Source organism: Homo sapiens, chromosome 2, assembly GCF_000001405.40.
Source record: "Homo sapiens chromosome 2, GRCh38.p14 Primary Assembly".
Taxonomy (NCBI): domain Eukaryota; kingdom Metazoa; phylum Chordata; class Mammalia; order Primates; family Hominidae; genus Homo; species Homo sapiens.
The window spans coordinates 200,460,869-200,485,843 of NC_000002.12; the positions used below are offsets into that span (position 1 = coordinate 200,460,869).

At 43.4% G+C, this 24,975-nt stretch overlaps 1 protein-coding gene and 1 long non-coding RNA gene across 18 annotated transcripts in view, besides 2 other annotated features; one reads left to right on the forward strand and one right to left on the reverse strand.

The window, feature by feature from the left end:
* The window catches only part of LOC101927741 (uncharacterized), an 81,319-nt gene extending 64,214 nt beyond the window's left edge, over positions 1–17,105 (reverse strand). For all 3 annotated transcript variants that reach the window (XR_007088047.1, XR_001739167.2, XR_001739165.3), the window contains exons 1-2: positions 16,677–17,105; positions 15,235–15,374 (exon numbers count right to left, since the gene is read on the reverse strand). This is a non-coding gene — a long non-coding RNA (uncharacterized LOC101927741). The remainder of the gene's footprint in view (positions 1–15,234; positions 15,375–16,676) is intronic.
* SPATS2L (spermatogenesis associated serine rich 2 like) overlaps positions 1–21,396 on the forward strand; it is a 176,386-nt gene extending 154,990 nt beyond the window's left edge. For 11 of the 15 annotated variants that reach the window (NM_015535.3, XM_024452788.2, XM_011510938.2 and 8 more), the window contains 4 exons: positions 6,422–6,531; positions 9,046–9,148; positions 11,964–12,184; positions 16,768–21,396. In NM_015535.3, coding sequence (NP_056350.2) covers positions 6,422–6,531; positions 9,046–9,148; positions 11,964–12,184; positions 16,768–17,163 — 830 coding nt within the window. In that variant the 3' untranslated portion in view covers positions 17,164–21,396. The remainder of the gene's footprint in view (positions 1–6,421; positions 6,532–9,045; positions 9,149–11,963; positions 12,185–16,767) is intronic. The other 4 variants (NM_001282735.1, NM_001282743.1, NM_001100422.1 and 1 more) reach the window with 1 other exon arrangement.
* Positions 10,735–10,914: an enhancer, noted in NCBI's record as "active region_16959". NCBI's record gives its function as "activates an Ori minimal core promoter by ATAC-STARR-seq in GM12878 lymphoblastoid cells {active_cell/tissue: GM12878}" and the evidence as "EXISTENCE:reporter gene assay evidence [ECO:0000049][PMID:35858748]".
* Positions 12,230–12,379: an enhancer, noted in NCBI's record as "active region_16960". NCBI's record gives its function as "activates an Ori minimal core promoter by ATAC-STARR-seq in GM12878 lymphoblastoid cells {active_cell/tissue: GM12878}" and the evidence as "EXISTENCE:reporter gene assay evidence [ECO:0000049][PMID:35858748]".
* Positions 21,397–24,975: the final 3,579 nt, after the last annotated feature.

Below are 24,975 nucleotides of genomic sequence, written 5' to 3' on the forward strand. Positions count from 1 at the left end.
GTGGCACAATCTCTGCTCACTGCAAGCTCCACCTCCCAGGTTCACACCATTCTCCTGCCTCAGCCTCCTGAGTAGCTGGGATTACAGGCGCCCACCACCACGCCCAGCTAATTTTTTGGGTTTTTAGTAGAGATGGGGTTTCACCATGTTAGCCAGGATGGTCTCAATCTCCTGACCTTGTGATCCGCCCAGCTCAGCCTCCCAAAGTGCTGGGATTATAGGCTTGAGCCACCGCGCCCGGCCTAAACAGTTTTCTTAAAATACTCCAGTTCTGTTCATGAACTTCGTCAAATACACTGACACCTGCCAACTTAAAACCGCAAAAGAAAATCAATTCCATATATTAAATTGAAAATCACAAATCAGATTGCTTAATGTACCAAATTCTCTGTTTAAATAATGAACACGCTCAAATTATCTTGATCATTGCAAAACTTAATCCTAAATTTAACATAAAATATTAACATTCTGGGTTTGACTTGTTTTATTTTCTTTATGCTGATTTCTAAACCTTTCCACTGTGGTAAAGTTACTTGAGTAGTAGAGAAGAATTACCATCTTAAATAGACTGAGGCTCATGAGTTGGAAATTTCAACAAAGACAAGATTACTTTGTCAGATTCAACATCAAACCACAAGTGAATGTGTGAGGCCCTCCCTTATTATTGAATTTAGTTTGCTGTGTTAATGGGGCCCCTAAGACCCTATTTTCCAGCTGGGATTCAGTTTTACAATCCTTGTCTCCTGGGCATTTTAAATTCCTCATCTTTACCCAAAGATGAATTGGATAAATGGCAGTCTGTGCCCCTAACCAGATTTCAGTGAAATCCCTTTACCTTTGATGTGATGTCTTTCTTTTGCCAGAATGAAAGATCAGACCAGATTCTTCATTCTTTTTTATTTTTCTTGTCTGGACCTAGGCCATAATTCAAGTGTCATTTTATGGAAAATAGCTATCGTTATTTTTGTTACACAGTTTTCTAAATTATTTTGTTATTCATTTCAGACCTCCTTTAGTCAGGCATCTAAATAATTGTAAGCAACATTTTAGAATCCTGAAATACAGCAAGCTTTGTTAAATGAAACTAATGTGATCCAGGGTGAAGCTATGGACTATTTAGGTAGTTAAACAATCTCTTTGATTGTGAAATTATTTTATTCTTATGAAATTTGTTGACATCTTCAGTAACAGTAGATTATATACACAACTTGGGATTTTCCCTACTTCTCAAGTATAGCTTACTTCAGTTTCATGTCCTAATGATAAAAATGCTAACAACCAACACAGACACAAATGATCCTCTTGAACCAAAATGGAAAGTCACTAGCACATCATCACTTTCTTAGAGGTCAAGAAAAGACCTCAGGTTTCATGTACTTATTTTTCCTTCTTGAGACATGATAGTCTTTGATGCCAAGACCTGTGGAATTTGGAGCATCTCTGGAGAGCATCCCATTTTAAAAACTTACTCAATCAGTAAACACACGCGCTTCCTTGTGTCCAGGATAAACAGCAAACAGACAAATGTAGAGCCTGCACTCACCAAGCTTTCAGGCTAGCTGAAACTGCTAGATTGGTTGACAGAGTTCACCTAACTTGAGTAATTGGTATGGCAGGTCCTGGTTTTTGAACTAACCTCAGCCCTGGGGAAGCCCATTTGCATGCTTTTGAGGCAGGCAGAACTGAGTTCAAGTCCAACCTCCATCTCTAACTGGCTGTGTGTCCCTGAACCATGTTGTTGACTTCTCAAAGTCTAATATTCCTTAGGCCCTGGCAATGGCTCACACATATAATCTCAGACCTTTTGGAAGACCAAGGCAGGAGGATTGCTTGAGGCCAAGAGTTCGAGACCAAGCCTGGGCAACATAGTAAGACCCCATCTCTAAAAAAATAAAAATAAAAAATAAATTAGCCACGTGTGGTGGCATGTGCCCATAGTTCTAGCTATTCTAGAGGATGAGAGGGGAGAATCACTTGAACTCAGGAGTTTAAGGATGCAGCAAGCCATGATCATGCCATTACAATCCAGCCTATATAACGGAGAGAGACCCTGTATTAAAAATAATAATAACAATAATAATAATAATAATATCCATCTCAAGTAGTTATTGTAAAGATAAAATGAAAAAATACACGTCAGGCACTTAGCACAGAGCCTGATACAATATGTGTGCAAAAAGGGAAGAGTTCTTATTAGTAAATTACCCCAACCCGCTCATATTACAGTCAAAAAATGGAAGTCAGGGGTTCTATTGCATCTCTCAAATGACAAGCCTGTATCAACACTATGTCTTCTCCACAGATAGAAAGAACCATGGAATTTCTCCCCACTAACTACAGAACTGTCTTTACAACCACCATCTTTAATTTGGTTCTCTGTGGTCTCAAGAGTATTTTTCACACTTTACATTTCCTGTAGACATTATAAATCATATTTCCTCAATTATAACAGAAGCTCCTAAATCCCTCATGGCACCTAACCCAGTGCTGAGAAGACTGCAGGTACTTCATAAATATTTGTTAAATGAGTTATTGTAAATAAGTCAGTATCTGTAGACTGTGGGAACGAATATTAGTGAACATTCCTGTAATTGCACAAAAGAGGAAGTATATTCTAGATGAAGAGATCTCACTTTATCAATAATATTTAGAGTTAGCATTTTGAGTATACTATACGAAACACCTCATGTATGTTATTCCATTTATTTCCACAATACCCCTACAACATGTGATCAGTTCCTACACAGATTTTACAGAAGAAGAAACCAAGTGTGTTGTAGTGCTAGGGTCTCAAACTTCCTGTTTATACCCACATAAGCACAGGTGTCAAGTTCACTAGAGATACGGGAAGAAAACATTACTTTGTAAATTCATAGTAACACAAACAAATTATGAAGTAGAATGCAAAATTCACTAGAATTTTTAAGGAATAAAAAGTATTCCAAAGAATCTTTGTGCTTAAAGAGCCACTTCTCCAGCTCCTGGCCCCTGGCCCCCACCTTGGGATTTTAAGTATATTTTCTGCTGAGGGTTATTGTTTTGAGAAGCCTTCAGATTTTCTATGGTTCAGATAATATGAGCAAGCTTCCAATGTGTTTCAAAAGCTTGAAGGAGTTTATAAATCCTATTGAGAAAGTGGATTTCAGCTTACCAGATACTGTTTATACATACATAATATTAATTAAGTCTTGAATGCAGTGATAACCTAAGCTGTACAGAATTGTCTTCCTCTACAGATTTCTGAAAGCATGGTGCTTCCAAAACATACTTATTATTCTATTGTAAATTACAGGATCAGTGAAGCTTAAGATCTGATCTGTTTTTGTTTGTTTGTGTGATTGATGTTTTTGAGGTGAAAATGTTCATCCCTTCAGCCAAAGAATATTGGCTTTAGATCTCAAGTTTTAAGGCTTTTTTCATAATGAAAGCCTTTGAAATGTTAATGAGACTATATGTAAAATGCATTTTAACACTTGCTGATCCAAAGTATTTGTTTCCATGCACATTGGCATGAGGGTAAACTCAGAATTTATTGGTGATCTTGCACCTGCATTCCTATTTTAGGGCCCATTTATATCTATTTCTACAAAATCTTTTGTTTGGTATGAATGCCCAAGTTCTGCTTAATCAAAAAGAACAATGGCCCTTAATTGTCACCAGTCTCACAAATGATCCATGAAGAAAAGTTAGATCTGTTGGACTGTGTCATCACTGAGGGCCTAATGACCCCTTTACTAGCTGCTTTTCAAGTCTGGGCCTTCAGACTTTTTTTATTATTATTATTATCAGTTTGATGAGACAGGGTCTTACATTGTTGTCCAGGCAGGTCTTGAACTCCTGAGTCAAGCAATCCTCCTGCCTCAGCCTCCGAAAGTGCTAAGATAACATGTGTGAGCCACTGCGCCTGGCAACAGAATTAATTTTTTTAATTTTAGTTTGCAAGAAGAACATACCTCATTTCATCTTCCTACTTGAATTGTTTTCTCATGCTGCAGATGTTAGTCCCATCCATATATTGAATTATAATGGCAAACAAATAACATAACCAATCAAAGGTGTGGATCCTAAACAGTCTTAAGTGACCCCTGTAGAAAAGGAACTTCCATCCTTCTTTAGATATTCCCTTTAAGTAATAGATTAATTCATTCATTGAATTCTTCACTCAGCAGGCATATTGCATACCCCTTGTGTACCAAGCAGGCACTAGGTGCCATGGACACAAAGAACTACATAGTGCAGTTCACACCGTAGTCCCGAGAATGACTGGAGATGCTCGCAGGAAACAGATAGGTAACATTAATGTGCCAAATGGGGCAGGGGGAAACCATGGCACACTGGGCACCTGACTCCATCTAAAGAGGGCAGTGGCTTCTTGGCTTCAGCCGTTTGTCACCATGTAGGAAGGTTGACCAACTGTGACCAGAAATTCCAGTACTTTAAGAGATGCCAGAGAGCCAGCTTTCAAATGGAATCTTCTAATTTTTAAATGTGGGCAATTAATTTGTAAACGTAATGTGTGGACCAAACAAGACATATGTACTCTGGCTGAAAATGAGAGTGAGCCACCTTTTTGTGACCTTTGGTCCCACTGGGTGTCCTGAGACATCCTTCAGCAATCTGTTGTCTACATTGAGATGAAACTTCCCTTCACTTTCACCATCCAGACAAGTTTTTCACTAGCTCCTCTGTATTCAGAAAGACTATTAGGCACAGATCTGTCTGCCCAGCCACATGGTATTGTAAATGGGGGCTAGGGGGAGCCCCAGTTAAAGAATCAAAGCATGATTAGCATAGTTTGGCAGATGATAAAGCTGTATGAGTTATAGACTAATTATTTTATTAACATCTCAACATTGATATCAGCATAAAAAGATGATGTCTTAGGGCCAGGTGATGGCTCACACCTGTAATCCCAACACTTTGGGAGGCCGAGGCAGGCAGATCACGAGGTCAGGAGATCAAGACCACCATGGCTAACATGGTGAAACCCCGTCTCTACTAAGTATACAAAAAATTAGCCAGGCATGGTGGCGGGCGCCTGTAGTCCCAGCTACCCAGGAGGCTGACGCAGGAGAATGGTGTGAACCCGGGAGGCGGAGCTTGCAGTGAGCCGAGATCATGCCACGGCACTCCAGCCTGGACGAAAGAGCGAGACTCTGTCTCAAAACAAAAGAAGATAATGCCTTTCAGTCTGTCTAAAGAATGGTTTATGATTTGCAGGGAATCTTAACTCTTGATGGATTCTGTACTTCTTTTTGGGCTTTTGCAGTGACTATCTTTTGATATTTTGAGTAATAAGAACTCTTAAAATCAGAAATCATATTGTTTGGACCTGCACGTATGCTGTGAATCTGGTCTAATAAAGCAGTTGATCCTTGTTCAGCCAAGCATAGAATGTGAGTCCGACATGCATGTCATCTTAGATGAATACCTTTTTTCTTACACCTCAAAATGCTTGTCCTAAAGAAATGAAGGCAATTCATATGAGTCGAATTAGAGAGCCAGAAGTCTATCTATTGAAAGATCCAGCTGCATATTTAAATCTCATCCTGTGTGTCTGTATTGATTGCTACTGAGCGCCATAATCTTTTGGGAAACACGTGTATACACACACAGACACAAACCAACTGATAGGCTACTACATCTATTTGAACCTTTAGTTCATCTGAAGATGTGTGAAAATGTTGGAGCCAGAGTACTCCCCAGTGTCTTCTCTACGTGTGCAGGTGCTAAAAAATTCACACGAATCTAGTTCTAGCTGGCCTCACTCACTCTTGAAATTTTTCCACTGGGGACACTTATAGAAAGACCTAAGACACTCTGGGGTAGAACTTCTGTTTTTTTGCTGAATGGAAACATATCTGCAGAGTATCAAAAGCAGAGACATTTTTGGCTCACAAAAAAACTAATAAAGTTAGATTTTTATGTCAGATTCCAGTAACACAGCTAGTCACCCTAAGTGAGTATGTGTTAAAGTTCAAGAGGGCTGCTGCTGTTAAAGTTGAATAGTGCAGCACATATAGAATGATTTCTGCTTAGTAGACTTCCTGTCTTGGCGGTATCACTCAGAGAGGATTTTAATAAGTGTTGTTTTTCAGAGATCGTTGTTCGGAGTAACAAATTTCAAAAGTCTAAATTCCGTAAGTGAGGTCAGACACCAGTGGAGAAAATGTAGAGTGGGAGTGTACAGTGAATCAGAAGGGACTGTGTTTGGCTTGGGGATTGGTGGAGGAGGACAGGAGGAACTGGGTTGTTGGTAATAGGCACAGAGGGTGAACCCGCCTCCATGACCAACTCAGAAAACACAGTCGTGGTCCAACAAAGCAATCAGTCTGTGGAGTGAGAACTGATTCCAAGAAATTAGGTTATTTAATATGTTTCAATCTCTGGCCCTAATGTATGACTCCTCCTTATTTGGCAGTGGAAATCCTGACTGCTCGTCAGAAGAAAGCAGAAGAACTAAAGAGACTCACTGACCTTGCCAGTCAGATGGCAGAGATGCAGCTGGCCGAACTCAGGGCAGAAATTAAGGTCAGTTCTAAAATATCACAGCCTGAACCCTGAGCCAGAGAGCTGATCCCAATTATGTTTGTTTTGCATCCACAGAGTTCTGCTCTCTGAGGATCTAACATGTACACCCAGCTCTCTTCCACAGGGTGGAAATAGAGAACACAGAAGGGGGAAGACCCACATAATCACTGTGTTTAAGTGTAATGTGCTTTGAAGGAATGTGTTACTCCAAAGGAGAGGTACAAGCTATTTTGTCAGTCAGTAGAGACTGAACCAAATAAAGTAACTTGGCCAGGCCATGAATTATAGCTGGGATGGGGGATATTATTTTCACACACTGTGATTTGTATGTATGCATATAAACACATCCACAGGTATATATACACACACGAAGCATGAACGTAGTGTAATGGTGAAGATTAGAAAGCATGCGGTCTGTGGAGATTTCTTTCCTGTATTATTTTCTAGTTTAGTTGCATTTTTATTAAGAATACTACCCATAAATACGTATTTATTAGATTCCTTCATTGACAAGCAACAGAAACTGACCCTGGCTAACCTCAAGGACAAGTAGAATTTGACAGGATGTGAGTATAGCTCAGCAAAGCAGAGCCCTGTCTGAAGGCTCAGCTCAACAATTAGGTAGGAACTGGGGTGGCTCTGGTGAAATAAGAAGCAATAATCACTAGACACTCTCATGGGACCATCAGCCCTGTACCACCCCACTTGGCTCGGATCCCTAAGAGAGAGGCTCTGATTGGCCTCCACTTGGGTCACGTCCATCATTTGGCCCAGAGAGGGTGTGACATCTTGATCGCCAGACCCACCAAGACTGTGGATCTTTGAAACTGCATCAGGGTACAGTTACCAGAAGGGGAAATAGTTACCAGGAAGGCAAGTATAAGTATTTACAACAAAATAGGAAGAAATTTTAAAATTCCCCTTATCCACTTTTTCACCCAGTATACTACACACACACACACACACACACACACACACACGCCTTCCAGCTTCTTACCCACTTCCAGGAAACTAGAGTGGTTGCAAGACACAGCTGCTGCTAGCTTTGAAAGTAAGATTGCAAATTGGGGCATAAAACTGCTTGGCAATGATTGACAGTGGCAAGTGACTTTTCAACTCCCTCCCTCCTGGTTGGGCATGAAAGCGGGCCCCATGGGGAAGAGGACCTCACCTGAGGGTGCTGAGGGCGTCAGTGGCCTTTCCCTCCTCAGCTTCTCTGCTCTGGCCTTTGTGGCCTCCCACCCAGCCAATTGCAGTGGCCTCCACACTAGTCTCTCTGCCTACACTGTCTCCCTTCAGCCTCGTACTCCACTAAGACCAGACGTAAACTCCCAAAGCAGATCTGGTTTCCCCAGTATATCTCCTTCCCCTCAGAAAGAAATTCACAGCTGGACTTCAATATATGTTCCAACTTCCATCTCTCTCTACAAAAATCCCAGCTTGTTAGAACATCAAGTAAGAAATATAAAATTGCTAGCTTCCTGATCTATTGAAATCACCTCATCTTCCGAGTTTCATTTCTGCCTATCAAAACGCCACCCATCATAAAATAGTTAGTAGCACAGGCTTTGGAGTGAAACAGTCCAGCTGCAAAATTTTCTACTTCTGTGACCTTGGATAAGTTACACATTCTCTTAGACTCGTAGAACCCCAATTCCCCCATCTGTAAAACAGAGGTAATAATACTGACTTCATAATACTGTGATCAGATGAAATGAGATTATCTGCTAAGAATTTGACCAGTGCCTCGTAAGTGTTCAATGATTTTTTCAATGTTCCCTCTTAAATAACTCTTTCCCCATTGCCCTCAGTAGGAAATAATTTCTTCCTCTTTTATATTCCTAAAGCACCAACCACATTCCACCTTGTATTGTAGTTAATGGTATCTGTTTTCCTTGCCATTGCTAAACTCCCTGGTAAACTCAAGAAGGGACTGAGTCGCAGTTATTTCTGTATTTCTCACCATGTCTTCTACACACAGATCTTAATTTTAAATGAATGGAAAAATAATCTCTTTCTCACTTCTTTTCACAGCACTTGAAATTCTGCCATTTAAAATAATATTTTCCAGACACTAAAGGCTTTGTGGACGTCCCGGTTCCCTGTTAAAATAGGAATGGGGGTCTAGGAAGGACGACATGTTTTCTCTTGATGGTTAATACCTTAGAAGGCACTTGGCCAAACTCAGAAGACCCTGCCAGAATGCAATTCAGAAAAGTACTAGGAGGGCGAGGGGTGCTAAAAGGTTAAATAGATGAGTCAGACACACATTTCATGTAGGCCCAAACAAGAGAAACACAGGCCCCTCACATATTCCCCAGGCAGGAAGATGCTCATTCCCTAGCCAGGTCAGCACTAAGACTGAGCGTGGAGCCTCCCAGCAACAGGGCTGGAAAGATCCCCACCAGGTCAGCACTGCAGTGGACACCGGAAGAGCAGAGTGAACGCATCCACGGGGGTGCCTTGGTCATTTCTGTAATCATGGGGTTCCTGCTTTTCATCTCTTTCCTCCAGCACTTTGTCAGCGAGCGTAAATATGACGAGGAGCTCGGGAAAGCTGCCCGGTTTTCCTGTGACATCGAACAGCTGAAGGCCCAAATCATGCTCTGCGGAGAAAGTGAGTTTTGCATATTTGCTGAATAATTCTGTGTGAGTAACCTTGGTGCTATTTGGAGTTGCTATTGGAAATGTCAGGTGTGCAGTCCCCCCAGGGGGCTAACGTGAGGTCTAAAGAGATTTAATGATCTAAGCTCATGACACAAGTCACCAGAAATGTCGAGATTTGAACCTAGAGTCTTCAAATGCCACTGCCCATCAGTAATTCCCCAGGATTTATTAAGTGGAACAGAACAGGTCAACTAGTTGATACCTTTTGCAAACTTTTATTAAGCACTGCCAGTTAAACTGCTTCTCTGATTTCAAACAGCCCTGGTTCTACAGAAACTCGTTAGGCAGAGAGAGTGAGTCTTCCTAACATGTCTGGGAACAATCAGTTATTGTTGTGCAGGGCCCAGCTGTTATGCGAGCCCCTCAGCAGTGCCCTGAGCCTCCACCCTCGGTTCTCTGTGCTGAGTGAGGCTGCAGATAATGAAAGACTTCACTCAGCCATTAGCTTTAGTCTTGTTCCCTATTAAGCCTTAATTAGAGCAGCTAATGTGCAACAAAATTGGCTGCTATATTTTCCCCCTACACCAGCCCACCCACAAGGGGAGGTGGGAATGAGCACTGAAGCGGCTTTAAGGACGGCCACAAGGAGGAAAGGACTAGTCAATGACGTGGAAACCCACAGCCTCGCAGTCAGCTGAAAAATTAAGATTTGGCTGCACTTCCTATTATGATAGAATTAACTATACTGTACTACACTGCATACATATATAGTAACACAATTTGCTTTTATCACTTCACAATCTATGGTAGACATTTTTTCATATCAATATATTTAACCAGTCATTTCTCTAAATATAATAGATGTCACCGGTCTTCTGGTTGCTGCATTTAGATTGCTTGCAGTTTTTCACCATTAAAATAACACTCTGATCACCTGAGGCCAGGAGTTCGAGGCCAGCCTAGCCAATATGGTAAAACCCCCATCTCTACTAAAAGTGCAAAAATTAGCTGGGCGTGGTGGCAGGTGCCTGTAAGCCCAGCTACTTGGGAGGCTGAGGCAGGAGAATCACTTGAACCTGGACCCGGGAGGCAGAGATTGCAGTCAGTGGAGATCGCACCACTGCACTCCAGCCTGGGCGACAGAGCGAGACTCCATCTCAAAAAATTAATTAATTAATTAATTAACACTGCTGCGAGCATCCTTGTCCACACATCCTTGCCAATTATTTGATTTTCTGACTGCATTTTTAAAAATTATTGTTCCCCCCTGTACTCTTCCTTATGAAAGAATCTACCTATTTGCCATTCTCTATCCCCAGCTTTTGCCCCACCTCTAAAAAAGGGAACTGCCCACCCTCTTTTCCACTTCAGCCCTCAATGAGCAAGACAGTGATGCTGAGCGATGCCCTGTCACCACCGATCTCGGGGCGATGGAGAGGTGCCCCTTCACCTCCTTTCCTCCTGAGCACTTCAAGTGCCATCTAGTGGGAGAAATGGTCCCTTACTAAATTCCAGGTGTCCATTCTGAAAGACAGACACCGTAATCATCCAAAGGCCCTTCCTTCTCAGCTTTGTTGAGAGCACATTGAGAACCCACAGGTACTGAACCGGAAATAGTGGTCCCTGATCTGCAGACAATAATGACCCCATGAAACTGAATCTGGTGAGCATAGGAGCCACGGAAATCCCCTGGTCACATTTGGACAGCCCCAGCTTGCTGTCACACCTTCCCAGTACACTGAAGGGACTGGGGATGTGTCCCTGGCCTTTCCATTTCTCCTGTATTGTGATTCTTACTGGTCCCGCCTAGTCCTCTAGCAGAACCCTGGGATTAAATCTGATCCAACAAAGAGAGCAGACAAAGTTGCTTTCAAAAATTGGTGACAGTTTTAAGCCTCAAAGAAAGGTCTAGCTGGCAGTCAGATTCTGGTGAACTGTGAGAGGGAAGTCAGGGCTTTATCCTTGAATTGATTCCCTCCAGTTCTGATTCAGTGTAATCACATAGAAATCATCCCAGCAGAAACCACCACTTTCAAAACCAGGGGGAATGGTCATAATAAACGCTGAGCAGACCTGCCTGAGCCCTGAGCCCTGAGCCCTGAGCTCTGACGGGTGTCCGCCTGATCAGCCTGCCTTGCCTGTAACCTTGGAAGTGGTGCACATCTGCAGTGAGGCTGCAGAAAACGGGGCTGATTAAAGGTGTGATGATGGAGCACTAATGAAATATACAAGATGCCTTAGGGGCTGGCGGGCCTGGCCCTGTGTTTGGGGGATATGCATGACCCAGAGTAACAGAATTCCTAACATCCAACATCACCCCATTCCCAAGCTCTCAGAACATCGTGGATCTGACAGGCCAGAGTGTCCGCATAGCTCCCAATCTTTCTGTGTCTGCAGTACCAGTTGGTCCAGGGAACTGATCAGGGAAGTGAGAACAGGTTTGGTAATGGGGACTCTACGAGGCAGAGTACATTTGCAGACAGGGCCAGAGAGGGAACCTTGAGGTTTCATTATCTCTTTTCCCTTGGTGGTTCTTGACCTAAAGAATAATATTTAAGTTGGTCAGATATGTCTTATTTCCTACAAATGTCTCCCAACTTGGATGATTATGCTGTAATCACAGTTCAGTGATTCCCACAAAAGAAATTTGGTTGTTCTCTTAAGCACCAAGATGCCCTTTCAAATAACATCTTTCAAAAGAAAACTTTTTAATGTTTTTGTGGAGCTCCTGGCCAGTTTCTTCATCTTCTAGCGCTTCCTAATGGGTTACTGAGGCAGCAGTGTTGGAGGTGCAGCTCGTAACACTGAGCACTTTATTATTGCAGTTACACATCCAAAGAACAACTATTCCTCAAGAACTCCCTGCAGCTCCCTGCTGCCTCTGCTGAATGCGCACGCAGCAACCTCTGGGAAACAGAGTAACTTTTCCCGAAAATCATCCACTCACAATAAGCCCTCTGAAGGCAAAGCGGCAAACCCCAAAATGGTGAGCAGTCTCCCCAGCACCGCCGACCCCTCTCACCAGACCATGCCGGCCAACAAGCAGGTAAGCCGACACTGGTGCAGGGTGCCAGAGGAAAAAAAAAAAAAAACCTGTTTCCAGAGGAAGAAAACAGCAACTACTAGATTCTGGGCCTCCTGGGGTCACACTCAGGCTCCCGCCACCTGCCCTCACCCACTCCCCACCCAGCAGCACTGCCCAGCTGGCCTCTTGGGAACTCCCCTGGTCGCTCTCATCCATGCCTGCCAGGTGCTTTCCCATGTGGAGGAAGTGGCCTGCATGCACTCTTGACCACGTGAGCAGAGTCCACCCCAGTGACACAGTTCTTCTCATGGCTAGGACTGCCACCATCCCTGGGGCCCCGAAACCAGCCCACACGTGGAAGGGACCCACAGAGACTCTGGAACAAGACTCGGAACCTACTAAACTACTAATGAGAGGAAATCTGGCATTTGTTTTTTAAGATATTTTAATCCCCATTTATGTTTAGCTGATCAATAAGAGGCTAAAGTTAGTGCAGTCTTCTCTTCTCTTGGGATTTCAGTAAGGAGAATACATTTCAAAATGGCATTCTTCATTCTTATCTATTATGATGTCTAAAGACACAAGTGTCCAAAGAACCATCTTCCTTCTCTCCTTCTGCTTCTCCACTATATCTTTTGGAGGTGATTTCCCCCTTATCCTTAGAGAATTAACAAAAAATTGGGATCTGCCGGATGCAATGGCTCACTCCTATAATCCCAGCACTTTGGGAGGCCAAGGTGGGCAGATCACTTGAGGTCAGGAGTTTGAGACCAGCCTGACCAACATGGTGAAACCCTGTCTCTACTAAAAACACAAAATTTAGCCAGGCATGGTGGCGGGTGCCTGTAATCCCAGTTACTCGGGAGGCTGAGGCAGGAGAATTGCTTGAACCCGGGAGGCGGAGGTTTCAGTGAGCCAAGATCGCACCACTGCCCTTCAGCCTGGGCAACAGAGTGAGACTCCATCTCAAAAAAAAATAAAAATAAAAATAAAGGATCTGATGATATAGAAGTTGGGCATGCTATAAAGATACCTAAGATACCTTTTATCATCTCCAAGAAAAAGTCTTTTCTTTTTTTTTTTTGTAAGACTTTAAAAATGGTGGTTTTCTAACAGGTGTCTTGTTGGGTTTTGCTGTCTCAGCCTTTGAGAATTCTTATTAATGATATTGACAGGTGTTTTCTCAGGCCCTGAAGTCTTCATGAGCTTTAAGATAGCACTTTGACAAGGAGCATGTTATAATCTCATTAGTTAAAGATCATAATCAAATCTGTTTTTACTTGTAGTCTAAATATATCTTCACAGTTTTTGTTCTTTTTTTTTTCTTTTTTTTGGCACAATCTCGGCCCACTGCAGCCTCAACCTCCTGGGCTCAAACAATCCACCAGGCTCAGCCTGCAGGGTAGCTGGGACTACAGGCACGTGCCACCACGCCTGACTAAATTTTTTTGTATAATTTTTGTAGAGATGGGGTTTTGTCATGTTGCTGTCAAATTCCTGGGCTCAAGCGATCCACCTGCTTCAGCCTCCCAAAGTGCTGAGATTACAGGCATGAGCCACCATGCCTGGCCTCTCTGTTCATTATTAAATACCATGCTGATAATTAAGTCTAAAATTTAGTCTAAGAGTTTCCCTTTTTCATAATTTCTTTAAAAACAAAGGAGGCCAGATTAAGTACTATCTATGTAGATACTTCTTCAGTTCTCTGGTTTAGCAGTTTAGGTAATGGCTCATTTAAGTTGAAATCCACTCAAATATCTAAGTCAGAACACTGTAGACCCAGGCAAGAATGGCCCTTGGACCGGGCCCTGTGTTTTCAAGTAACTTCTTGACCCTCCCGCAGCCATGGCCCTCTCTACAGAGTAAGGAATCAGAGAGACCAAGGAGACAGGGCCACTGGAATCTACACTCTTTGTTCTGAAGCATGCTGCCAGTCAGTACTCGAGATCCTGGGTTACTCTTCCCAAGTGGGCCCAAGCCTGCTCACAGGATCTGCCTGGACCACTTTCCTGTATACATCATCTTGAAGATGAACAACACTGCCAGTTTTCACACCCATCCGCTGGAAGGGTGGGAGTGGAGGCGATGCTTAGGTGTGCAGGCTGGAATGTCCACATTTGTGTGTGCAAGGCCCCTTACAATGTGGGATGGAGCCAGAGATAGGAAAAGACAGTATTCAGACATATGGTGTGTGAACCCCAAAAATCTGAGACAGGTCTCAGATAACTTAGAAAGTTTATTTTGCCAAGGTTGAGGACGTGCACCCGTGACACAGCCTCAGAAGGTCTGATGACATGTGCCCAAGGTGGTGGGGCACAGCTTGGTTTTGTACATTTTAGGGAGACATGAGACATCAATCCATTTGTGTAAGGTGAATATCAGTTCAGTCCAGAAAGGTGGGACTACTGGAGGCAAAGGCGGACAACTGGGAGCGAGGAGGGGGCTTCCAGGTCTTAGGCAGATAAAAGACAGATGGTTGTATTCTTTTGAGTTTCTGATTAGCCTCTCCAAATGAGACAGTCAGATATGCATTTATCTCAGTGAGCAGAGGGGTGACTTTGAATAGAATGGGAGCCAGGTTTGCCCTAAGCAGTTCCCAGCTTGACTTTTCCCTTCAGCTTAGTGATTTGGGGGCCCCAAGATTTATTTTCCTTTAACAGATGTATGGACCTACATTTGTACTCTTGCTCTAGGCTCTGAATTATTGGGGGTTGGTCTGCCCTAAACCTATACCATCCAGTCACAGTGCACAAATGAAGAACCTTATATATTTGTAACTCATAAAATTTCATGTTTTCTTAAGAGGTTTGATTTTCAAAAAAGGTTTATGTTTATGTTACAACTTAAGAGTCTTGTCAGGAGATAGTATATAAAGCGGGAATAGCTCCACCATTTCCCAACTGTAGATAGACCTTGGGCAAGTCCCTGAAACTCCTTATCCTCATCTATAAAACGAAGCACATAATAGCAACTAACTTAAAGGGTGATTCTGATGTTAAATGAGGTAGTGCATGGTGAGAAACCCCATTCAGTGCATGGTAAGCACTCAATGAGTGTTGGCTATTACTGACCTTGAGGAGTTCAGAAATCTTTCCCTTGTAAAGGAGCTTAATCCATTGCGTCCTTACTGCTCATCCATTTACGTTCCTGGTCAGTGATGTGTTGAAGGAATGATTTTTTAATAGAGGCTTCAAATTTTCTTTGCTTATAACTGCAGAAAGTTTAGAAAAACAATGAATTACCTCTGTGAAAATACACCTTATTTCTGCATGCCACCAAGACCTGCCAGATACACTTCACCCCTATATTTGTCCAAGATAATATTTCTGAACTATAAAGATATTTGTTTTGGAATAAATTAGAAAAGCTACTTTAGAGAAGAAAAGTTACAGAATTTTACTTTTTCTTCACTTACGTAATTAGAATTCCTATGCATGGTTTTGAACAGGAAATTTTCCTTGACCCCTTCACAGGCCTTGCAACAGGGGTGCCTCACTTTCTCAGCCTGAAGCTCTGAACCCCTCGGGGGAGGGAGAGCATGCAGGTGAGCAGGTGCAGGAGCTAGAGCAAGCACTTTTGGCCACCGGCAGGATCAAAACTCCATGCAGTCCCACAGCAGTGCCTAGGGTAGTACCCATGACCCCTGGAGCCCCAGAGGGCATGCGTTACAATGCTCTTTTAGCTTTGCAGTCCAAGGACGGCTTAAGTATTTAACAGCTCAATAGACCTTCTACTTTTTCATGAAGGCAGAGGGTCAATGTGACACTTTTCTGTATCCTGAGCTCTTGTCCAGCATCCATGAAAAATCAGGTCATATGAACAAATTGAAGGATAGTAAACGCGGGGGATTTTATTGCCATTGAAAGTGGCTCTCAGCAGGAGGGAGAGAGCTGGAAAATGGGGATGGAGTGGGAACGTATTCTTCCCCTGAAGTACTGCCATCAAGCAGTCCCGCTAAAGTCAAGCTGCTGCTCTCCGACTCAGACTGCAGTCTCCGACGTGCAGCTGCTTCTCCTCTTCTCTGCTCTGTGCCAGTGGAGCCTGGGATTTTTATGGGTACAGGATACGGGGTGGGGTAGGCCAGGGGTGGTTTTGGAAAAGGCAATATTTGAGCAGGAAAACAGGAATGTAAAGTTCTCACTTTGGGCTTGAGAGTGGGTCTTGGCCAGGGACCCTGCCCTTTTTCTGTGTACAATTTCTGTGCCTCCTGTCCCTCTCAGTCTCTACAGAATGTCTCAGAAATCTCCATAGTAGAGGATCATCATTACTCTGCCCCTGGCTTCTGTTTTATTCTGCTATAGTTTAAGCATCTTTATGAATTTTATTTGACCCAGTTTTTGAATTGTCTGTCTTACACTTCTGTAACCTCTCTTTCAATATCATTTTCTTCCAGTTCCATTTACAAAACAGTCCACTATTCTTTTAGGATTAATAATTTTATCTGCCTGACCTCATCTTCATGTTTTCTGATTCTTCTGGTGTATAAAAAAAAAAAAAAAAAAAAAAAGCTTACCTGTGGCTTAGAGATTTGGTTTTCCTGATGTCTACTGGTGTCATCAGTGGCTTGCTGGCATCTGATACTTATCTCTTTTCTTTTTTGGTAGAATGGATCTTCTAACCAAAGACGGAGATTTAATCCACAGTATCATAACAACAGGCTAAATGGGCCTGCCAAGTCGCAGGGCAGTGGGAATGAAGCCGAGCCACTGGGAAAGGGCAACAGCCGCCACGAACACAGAAGACAGCCGCACAACGGCTTCCGGCCCAAAAACAAAGGCGGTGCCAAAAATCAAGAGGCTTCCTTGGGGATGAAGACCCCCGAGGCCCCGGCCCATTCTGAAAAGCCCCGGCGAAGGCAGCACGCTGCAGACACCTCGGAGGCCAGGCCCTTCCGGGGTAGTGTCGGTAGGGTTTCACAGTGCAATCTCTGCCCCACGAGAATAGAAGTTTCCACAGATGCAGCAGTTCTCTCAGTCCCGGCTGTGACGTTGGTGGCCTGAGCTAGGAGGAAAAAGAGCAGTTTTCACTCAGTTTTGGTTCCCTGCCCGAGGTGCTGACCCAATTCGCTGCCAAAAGAGTGTCAATCAGAATATACAAATCCCGTATGGTTGTGTCATCCTCTCTTAATCATTTTTACTAATTCTAATAATCAGCTCTAGCTTGCTTCATAATTTTCATGGCTTTGCTTGATCTGTTGATGCTTTCTCTCATCAAGACTTTGCAGCATTTTAGCCAGGCAGTATTTACTCATTATTAGGAAAATCAAGATGTGGCTGAAGATCAGAGGCTCAGTTAGCAACCTGTGTTGTAGCAGTGATGTCAGTCCATTGATTGTCTTTAGAGAGTTAATGTTACAAAAAAGAATTCTTAATAATCAGACAAACATGATCTGCTGAGGACACATGCGCTTTTGTAGAATTTAACATCTGGTGTTTTTCTGAAAAAATATATATACATATATTGCTTTATTTGAAACAAATTAAAATATGCTGCATTTGACACCTGGCTAGTTTCTTTTATTGATACCCACCTAGTTATTGAATGTACTGTTTAGTGCTTTCAAAAAAAACTTTAGAGACTAGAGGTTGTGGTGCAAAGCTGTGTACAATAAATACTGTTTCTGTTGAGACAAGTACTCTTTCAGGAAAATATATATATGCCCTTTCAATTAGATTACACAAATAGATGGATATGCACCCTGATCATCTTAGACACACCATGTGGCAGTTGGGCAGTTGGAAACATTGGTTGCAAGTACTACAAACCTCAGCTGAGCCTAGCTTCAACAATAAGAATTTATTGGTTCAGTGAGTGAAAAGTCCAGTTGGTCCAATTTGATCAGGATTTCAGCTCCCATCTCTTTTTTTTTTTTCTTTTTTCTTTTTCTTTTTTTGAGACAGTCTTGCTTTGTCACCCAGGTGGAGTGCAATGGCATGATCTCGGCTCACTGCAACCTCCGCCTCCTGGGTTCAAGCCATTCTCCTGCCCGGCCTTCCGAGTAGCTGGGATTACAGGCATGTGCCACCACGCCCTGCTAATTTTTATATTATTAGTACAGACAGGATTTCACCATGTTGTCCAGGCTGGTCTCAAACCCCTGACCTCAGGTGATCCACCTGCTTTGGCCTCCGAAACTGCCGGAATTACAGGCATGAGCCACCGTACCCGGCCAGCTCCCATCTCTTAATTATCTTAGCTCTCCTTTCCTCCTTGGGTTGACATTGCATTCAGAATTGTGGCAAAGGGCCACCATGCTCTTAAGACTCAAGTCTATTTTCCACACTGTCCAGAGGAGAGAAGTTATCCTAGTAGCTTCTACACAGAGCAAGTGTCTTTCTCAGAAATCCCAGCAAAGGTCTTGCATACCATTGCTGGTAGGCCTGTCTCTTAAACCAATCATGAAAGGGGGGAGAGAAGTGAATGGGATGAACTAATTTGCATAGACTAATTAGAGCCCACCCCTGGAGCCTGGGTGTGGCCATCTTCCCAGAGTTCCTGAGCTAGATGGAGAAGGGGTACTTCTCAGAAAGGGAAAATGGATACCCAATGGCCCAAACCCAAAATAGCCCCAGTTCCCCTAACTTTGACTACAGGGCAGTCCAGTTTGGGTGCCGCTTCCGTTGCACTCACATGTCCTACATATCTGTTGACTACTCACAAGTGCAAATGCTTATTCTCAACTCAACATTAACATTTTTTCTGGCAACCCAGGTTCACTGGTTCTCTTCCACAGAGCGGCCCTGAGCAGCTGAGCCTGCAAGCCACGCAAGCATCTGTTTCTTCTTTTGCCAAGTACAGGAGGATGTTTGCTCTCTCTGTAGAGAGCTTTCTGAGGTCTCTGGGTGTACCCAGAGATTTAATAGAAATTCTTAACGTTAAGTCACATTCCAGGAAGGAAGGAAGAGTTGTTCGTTCAAATAAGAAAGATAAATGTTCGGCACTGTAGGCCCTGTTTACCCCATCTGAGGCCCTGAATTCATATATTACAAGACGGAAGGATTTTGCACAGTTTTTTATGTAGCAAGATTTTGCTCACCACTGAAAAATGTCAGTGTAAATGTGACCGCTTTAAAGATGAGTCAAGTAATTCTTGGAACAGGGAAAAAAATGAATTTGCCAGGTCAGGAGTTCACCTGCCTTTGTCAGAGTTGAACCCAACCACTCTTGACCTCGACTCACTCCCTTAGGGTTAAGAAAGCCCAAACACATTCCTGAGCACAGAGCAAACACTCCCATGTCACTGAAAAGAAACAAAAGAATGCTAAAAAGTGCTCAGACCTGATCACATTTTTTCCAATATTTTTTCCTTTTTTTTTTTTTTTTTGAGACAGGGTCTTGCTCTATCACCTAGGCTGGAGTGCATGTTTTTGAGACAGGGTCTTGCTCTATCACCTAGGCTGGAGTGCATGATCATGGCTCACTATAGCCTTGAACTCCTGGGCTCAAGCCATCCTCAGCCTCCCAAGTTGCGAGGACTACAGGTGTGCACCACAACGTCCCAGCTACTTTTTAAATTTTTAGTAGAAACGAGGTCTCACTATGGTGCCCAGACTGGTCTCGAACTCCGGAGCTCAAGTGATCTTCCTGCTTTGGCCTCCCAAAGTGTTAGAATTACAGGCATGAGCCACCTCGCCTGGCTGGTTTTTGCCTTTCTTATAGACCCTGGGCATGTAAGCATTTATTAGTTTGCATTTTTGAAACAGTAATTTCAATATTTTAGTGCCAATGTCAGGCCGCTTAAACACTGTATTACATATCTTCATCTGTCTGGTGGAACTATTGGTGTGATCCTAGAGAACTGAGTCCTATTCTGCCATTCATTTAAAGTGTTTTAAACTCTAATCTCTCTACTTAATGCACAGTAGTCAGATTATTCTCTTAAACATTTGCCTAGTAGAGGTTAAAATAGTTTAATCCTTATGAAGATGGAATAACTTCAAACTCACATTGTGGCACTTAGATCTTCCACCAAGACTTCATCCGTGAAATCCACACCTCCCTGTTGGGTTCCCAATTACATTCCAAATTTACATTTCTTTTGAGAATCTCTGCATACTCCAGCTCTGTCCTGTTGATCCTATTCTAGAAGTGCTTAATGCAGCAAGACACAGAAAGTTAAACGCAAATTGCTGCAAAATTCACCCTCAGTGGAGGACTAGAAACACAACATGTCCAATTTAAAGCTCAGTTCACAAGCAGTTCAATTCTGCTGGCATCAGAAAAGGAGATTCTAATTAAACATTCTTAGGGAAGGACATCAAATGAGGTTAATGGGAAACGTTACCAGATTAAAAGCAGTTTTTTGACAAAGTAACAGATTTGGAAATTCTGACTCTCTGAAAGCCTTGATTTGAACCTCAAACTTGATTTCACCATGAGAAGTGGGGATCAAGGGCCTGCGCAGTTCTTTTCCTAAATCGATTCGGTGCTCCCCACCCCGACGCAGGCACAGGTCCGCAACCAGATAGGGAGATGCCTGAATTTCAGGCTACCTTTGACAAAGCTTTCTTCCTCCCTCCCTCCCTTTGCACGCTGCATCCCACGCTGCCTGCTTAAAGCGCCCTCATGTGTCTACAGATGGTAAAACGTTTATTTCTCAACAGACATTCCAGTGATAGCATCCAATGACCTATGTAACGGCACCCTTTTTTGCTGTACGCGTTTTTTGAGATGGAGTCTCGCTCTGTCGCCCAGGCTGGAGTGCAGTGGCGCGGTCTCGGCTCACTGCAAGCTCCGCCTCCCGGGTTCACGCCATTCTCCTGCCTCAGCCTCCCGAGTAGCTGGGACTACAGGCACCCGCCACCACACCTGGCTAATTTTTTGTATTTTTAGTAGATACAGGGTTTCACCGTGTTAGCCAGGATGGTTTTGATCTCCTGACCTCGTGATCCACCCCCCTCGGCCTCCCAAAGTGCTGGGATTACAGGGGTGAGCCACTGCGCCCGGCCCCAGTCACTTGTTCTTAAGTTTCTTAAGCAAACTATAAAATAGCAAAAGACCAAAAAAAAAGGAAAAAAAGCAGTTCGCCTAATACATTGTTCCAGCATTTCCTTGAAAGTACTGAGCCATCTCAATTGCTCTGATTTTGTGAGAAAATTATGAAGAGTTGCAAAGTCCCAGTGATTCTCTTGTTACTTAGCTAAGAATTTGAAATGTAATTTAAATACTATTCTTTACAATCCATTATAAGGATTTTAAAATCTTTTTGCTTCTTTAATAAATTCTAACAAAGTTTTGTGTTTATTCTTAGTTTCAAAGAACCAGGTCCCCAGTCCTGGGAGGCTGCTCAGCTGGCCAAGCCAGTGTTTAATCTCATTATAGCAGCCCTGCAGGCAAAGGCACTCTGGTCTGAATCTAGTCTATCTGAGAAATACACAATGCTGCTCTCATCATTCAAGGTTCTTACACATTAATGATTAATTATCAGAAGTCCCTTTGTCTGAGAACTCTGTTTTTTCCCACAGCTCAGAGGAGCTTCTGGGGCTGCCACTAAGTTCCAGTTTCATAGGAAGAATTGCCACAAACAACTTTTGCAGAATAATGAGTATATTCCAAAGCAAATTTGTCTGAGAAATTATGTAGACTTCTGGCAAAAAAAAAAAAAAAAAAAAAAAAATGGTTCAGAAGCATGACTGTGACAATGGCCAAAGAACTTCTACAGAAAATAGCAGTGTAAAAAGTGCTCCCTGTCAAAAAAAAAAAAAAGTATCCTTTTTTTTTTCTTTTTTTTTTTTTTGTGTGTGTGTGTGTGAGATAGGATTTTATTCTGTAACCCAGGCTGGAGTGCAGTGGTGCAATCACAGCTCACTGCAGCCTCCAGCTCCTGGGCTCAAGCGATTCTCCAGCCTCAGCCTCCCAAGTAGCCGGGACTAGAGATGCATACCACCGCACCTGACTAATTTTTGTATTTTCAGTAGAGATGGGGTTTCGCCATGGTGTCCAGGCTGGTCTTGAACTGCTGAGCTCAGGCAATCTGCCCACCTTGGCCTCCCAAAGTGCTGGGATTACAGGCTTGAACCACCACGCCCAGCTGTCCTGTTTTTAACTTCAGATACTTAGATTTGAATTTGATTTAATTGTTCCTAGTCCTTTGAAAGAACCCACCTTCTGTAAATTACCATCATTGTGTAACAAGTCAGCCAATAACATCATTACTCCTCTGCCAACACCTGACGTATAGTAGGCACTTGATGAACACTGATTGAAAGAGAGAGAAGATATGAATAGGTGACCAACTCCAATATCTCCAGAAAATTCTGGAGTCTAAATGACTTGTGCAAAGTAACCCAGTAAAACAATCCTAGAGAAAATAGGAGGAGAGAGCAGAGCAGCTGAAGTAACCCACCCTCAAAGCCACCTGTCTGGATTCAAGCGCTAGCTCCACCACCTCCTGTCTGTGTAAACCAGGGTACATTTCTCAACATCTCCTTACCTTGGTTTTCTCCATGGGTGAATGGGGCAGGTAACTGGAGCTACTTCACAGAGTTGTTACGAGGATTGAATAGTTAATATTTGCAAAGCATTTGGAATAATGCCTGGCACTTTATATAGATTCCAGGCAGGAGACAGTAACCACAGAGTAATTTGCCGGGGAAGCTTTATCAATGTATATGGGGAAGATAGATCGACAGAAATAACTAGTAACGGGAGATTAGCTACTAAAGGGTAAGAACTCTGAAGACAACAGGAATAGCTGATACAGGGACTAGTCACTACTAGAGGTGAGACAGAGTACCCAAGAAAGGAATAAGCTTGAAAGAGCTTGCCCCACCCTCAAGGCTGACATTCGGCCTTGTTGGAGAGGGTGCAGCTGTGGCCACTGGAGGGCGGAGCAGCTCGCTGAGGTGTTGCAAGCTGGGGCTGGCAAGCTGGAAGCCACTCAGATTCACCAGGAATACACCTGCAGGGATGCCATTAAACCTGCTGGGACTCCAGCTGGAACACCAGCAAAACTCACCTGGAAACCACACACAGGGGTGTTGTTGAATTGTCTGTGGAGCCAGCAGGGAGACCCACCCAACAGGAAGCTGCACAAGGCAGTGCTTGCTGAGGGTGAAAGCCACTGGATATTCCACACTGGGACCAAGCACTGCAGCAGCAAGACCCGGGATGCACCCTGAACCTGGAAGAAAAGGGCCCTTCTGCAGTGTCCCACCAGTGACAAAGCTTAACATCATGCCAGCTGGTGAGAGAGAAGTGTTTGCAGGGTCCAGCTCTAGTATCACAAGCAGCACAATAAAGAGTGGATTTGGAAGCAAGAGGCAATGAATTGATAAACAACACATCCTTAGTAAGTGCTATAAGAATATTTGATCAGGCCAGGTATGGTGGCTCATGCCTGTAATCCCAGCACTTTGGGAGGACGAGGTGGGTGGATCACCTGAGGTCAGGAGTTCAAGATCAGCCTGGCCAGCATGGCGAAACCTGTCTCTACTAAAAATACAAAAATTAGCTGGGTGTGGTGGCGGGCCCCAGTGATCCCAGCTACTTGGGAGGCTGAGGCAGGAGAATCGCTTGAACCCATGAGGCGGAGGTTGCAGTGAGCCAAGATTGCGCCACTGCACTCCAGCCTGGGCGACAGAGTGAGACTGTCTCAAAAAAAAAAAAGTGTTTGATCCATAGAATAAATAGCTATGCAGCATACAGAAGACTTTAATCCTATCTAGCTCATCTCTGGGAATGGGAGTAACAAGCTCCTATAAGAGCAGACCTAGCGTTGTGCTTAGGGGCCTGGACTCTGGAGTAAGATGACATGGATGTGAATCCTAGCTTTGCCTTCTGCTAGCAGTTAGGCAGCTCATCTAACCCCTCTGTGCTTCAGTTTCTCCATCTGTAAAATGGGGATGATAATAATACCGACCTGCGTCATAGGGTTAGTGTATTAAATAAGTTTATAAACAATTAGAAGAGCACATATTAGCTTTTATTAGGTAGTTGCTTGGTCAGAACAGCAAACGAAAATATTTCAAATTTTATGCCAAAACCAGAAATGTAACTGGGAGCTTAAAGGATGGGTTTTTTAAATCAGCAGGCCTGAGACATCCTTCCTTCTGAATCACCCTCCCCCTCAATTCCCATGGCTCTACTCCTGCCTGTGATTGACAGCTGCAATGTTTTCTTACTGATCCACAGCCCCCAGTTAGGAGAGGCAGTTAATCTGCTCAAGTTAAGTCACCCAGTTAGAGCAATGGTTCTCAACTGGAGATAATCGATGCACCCCCTGACCCCAGGGGACATTTGGATGGGTCTGGAGATATTTCTGATTGTCACGACTGGGGCAGGAGTGCTAGCCAGGGATGCTGCTCAACATCTTGTAATGCACAGTATAATCCTAACAATAAAGAATTATTTGGTCTAAAATGTCGATAAAGCCACTGTTGAGAAACCCTGATCTAGAGGGTTCAGGGGTTTGGAGAAAGGGGACAAAAGTTGAGTAGATGAGCCAGGACATGTTTCCCTGATTCCTCCAGCTATGCTGGGTTCTTGGCTGGTTCAGCCTCGGTGACCAACTCCAGACTGTCTGAACTTTGGGAGGACGAGGTGGGTGGATCACCTGAGGTCAGGAGTTCAAGATCAGCCTGGCCAGCATGGCGAAACCTGTCTCTACTAAAAATACAAATTTTTGGTAGATTAGCTGGGTCTAAATGTACAATTTCTGATGTCCCTGGACTACTAGTGTCACATACATAGAAACTGAATCCCCAGGTCTTCCACATCAAGAAATTAGAGAATAGATTCTTGAAAGAGCTGCTATTGAAACAAAACTATTCAAAATTTTAAGAAATCTTGGCAGAAGGCAGTTTGCCTTTTCC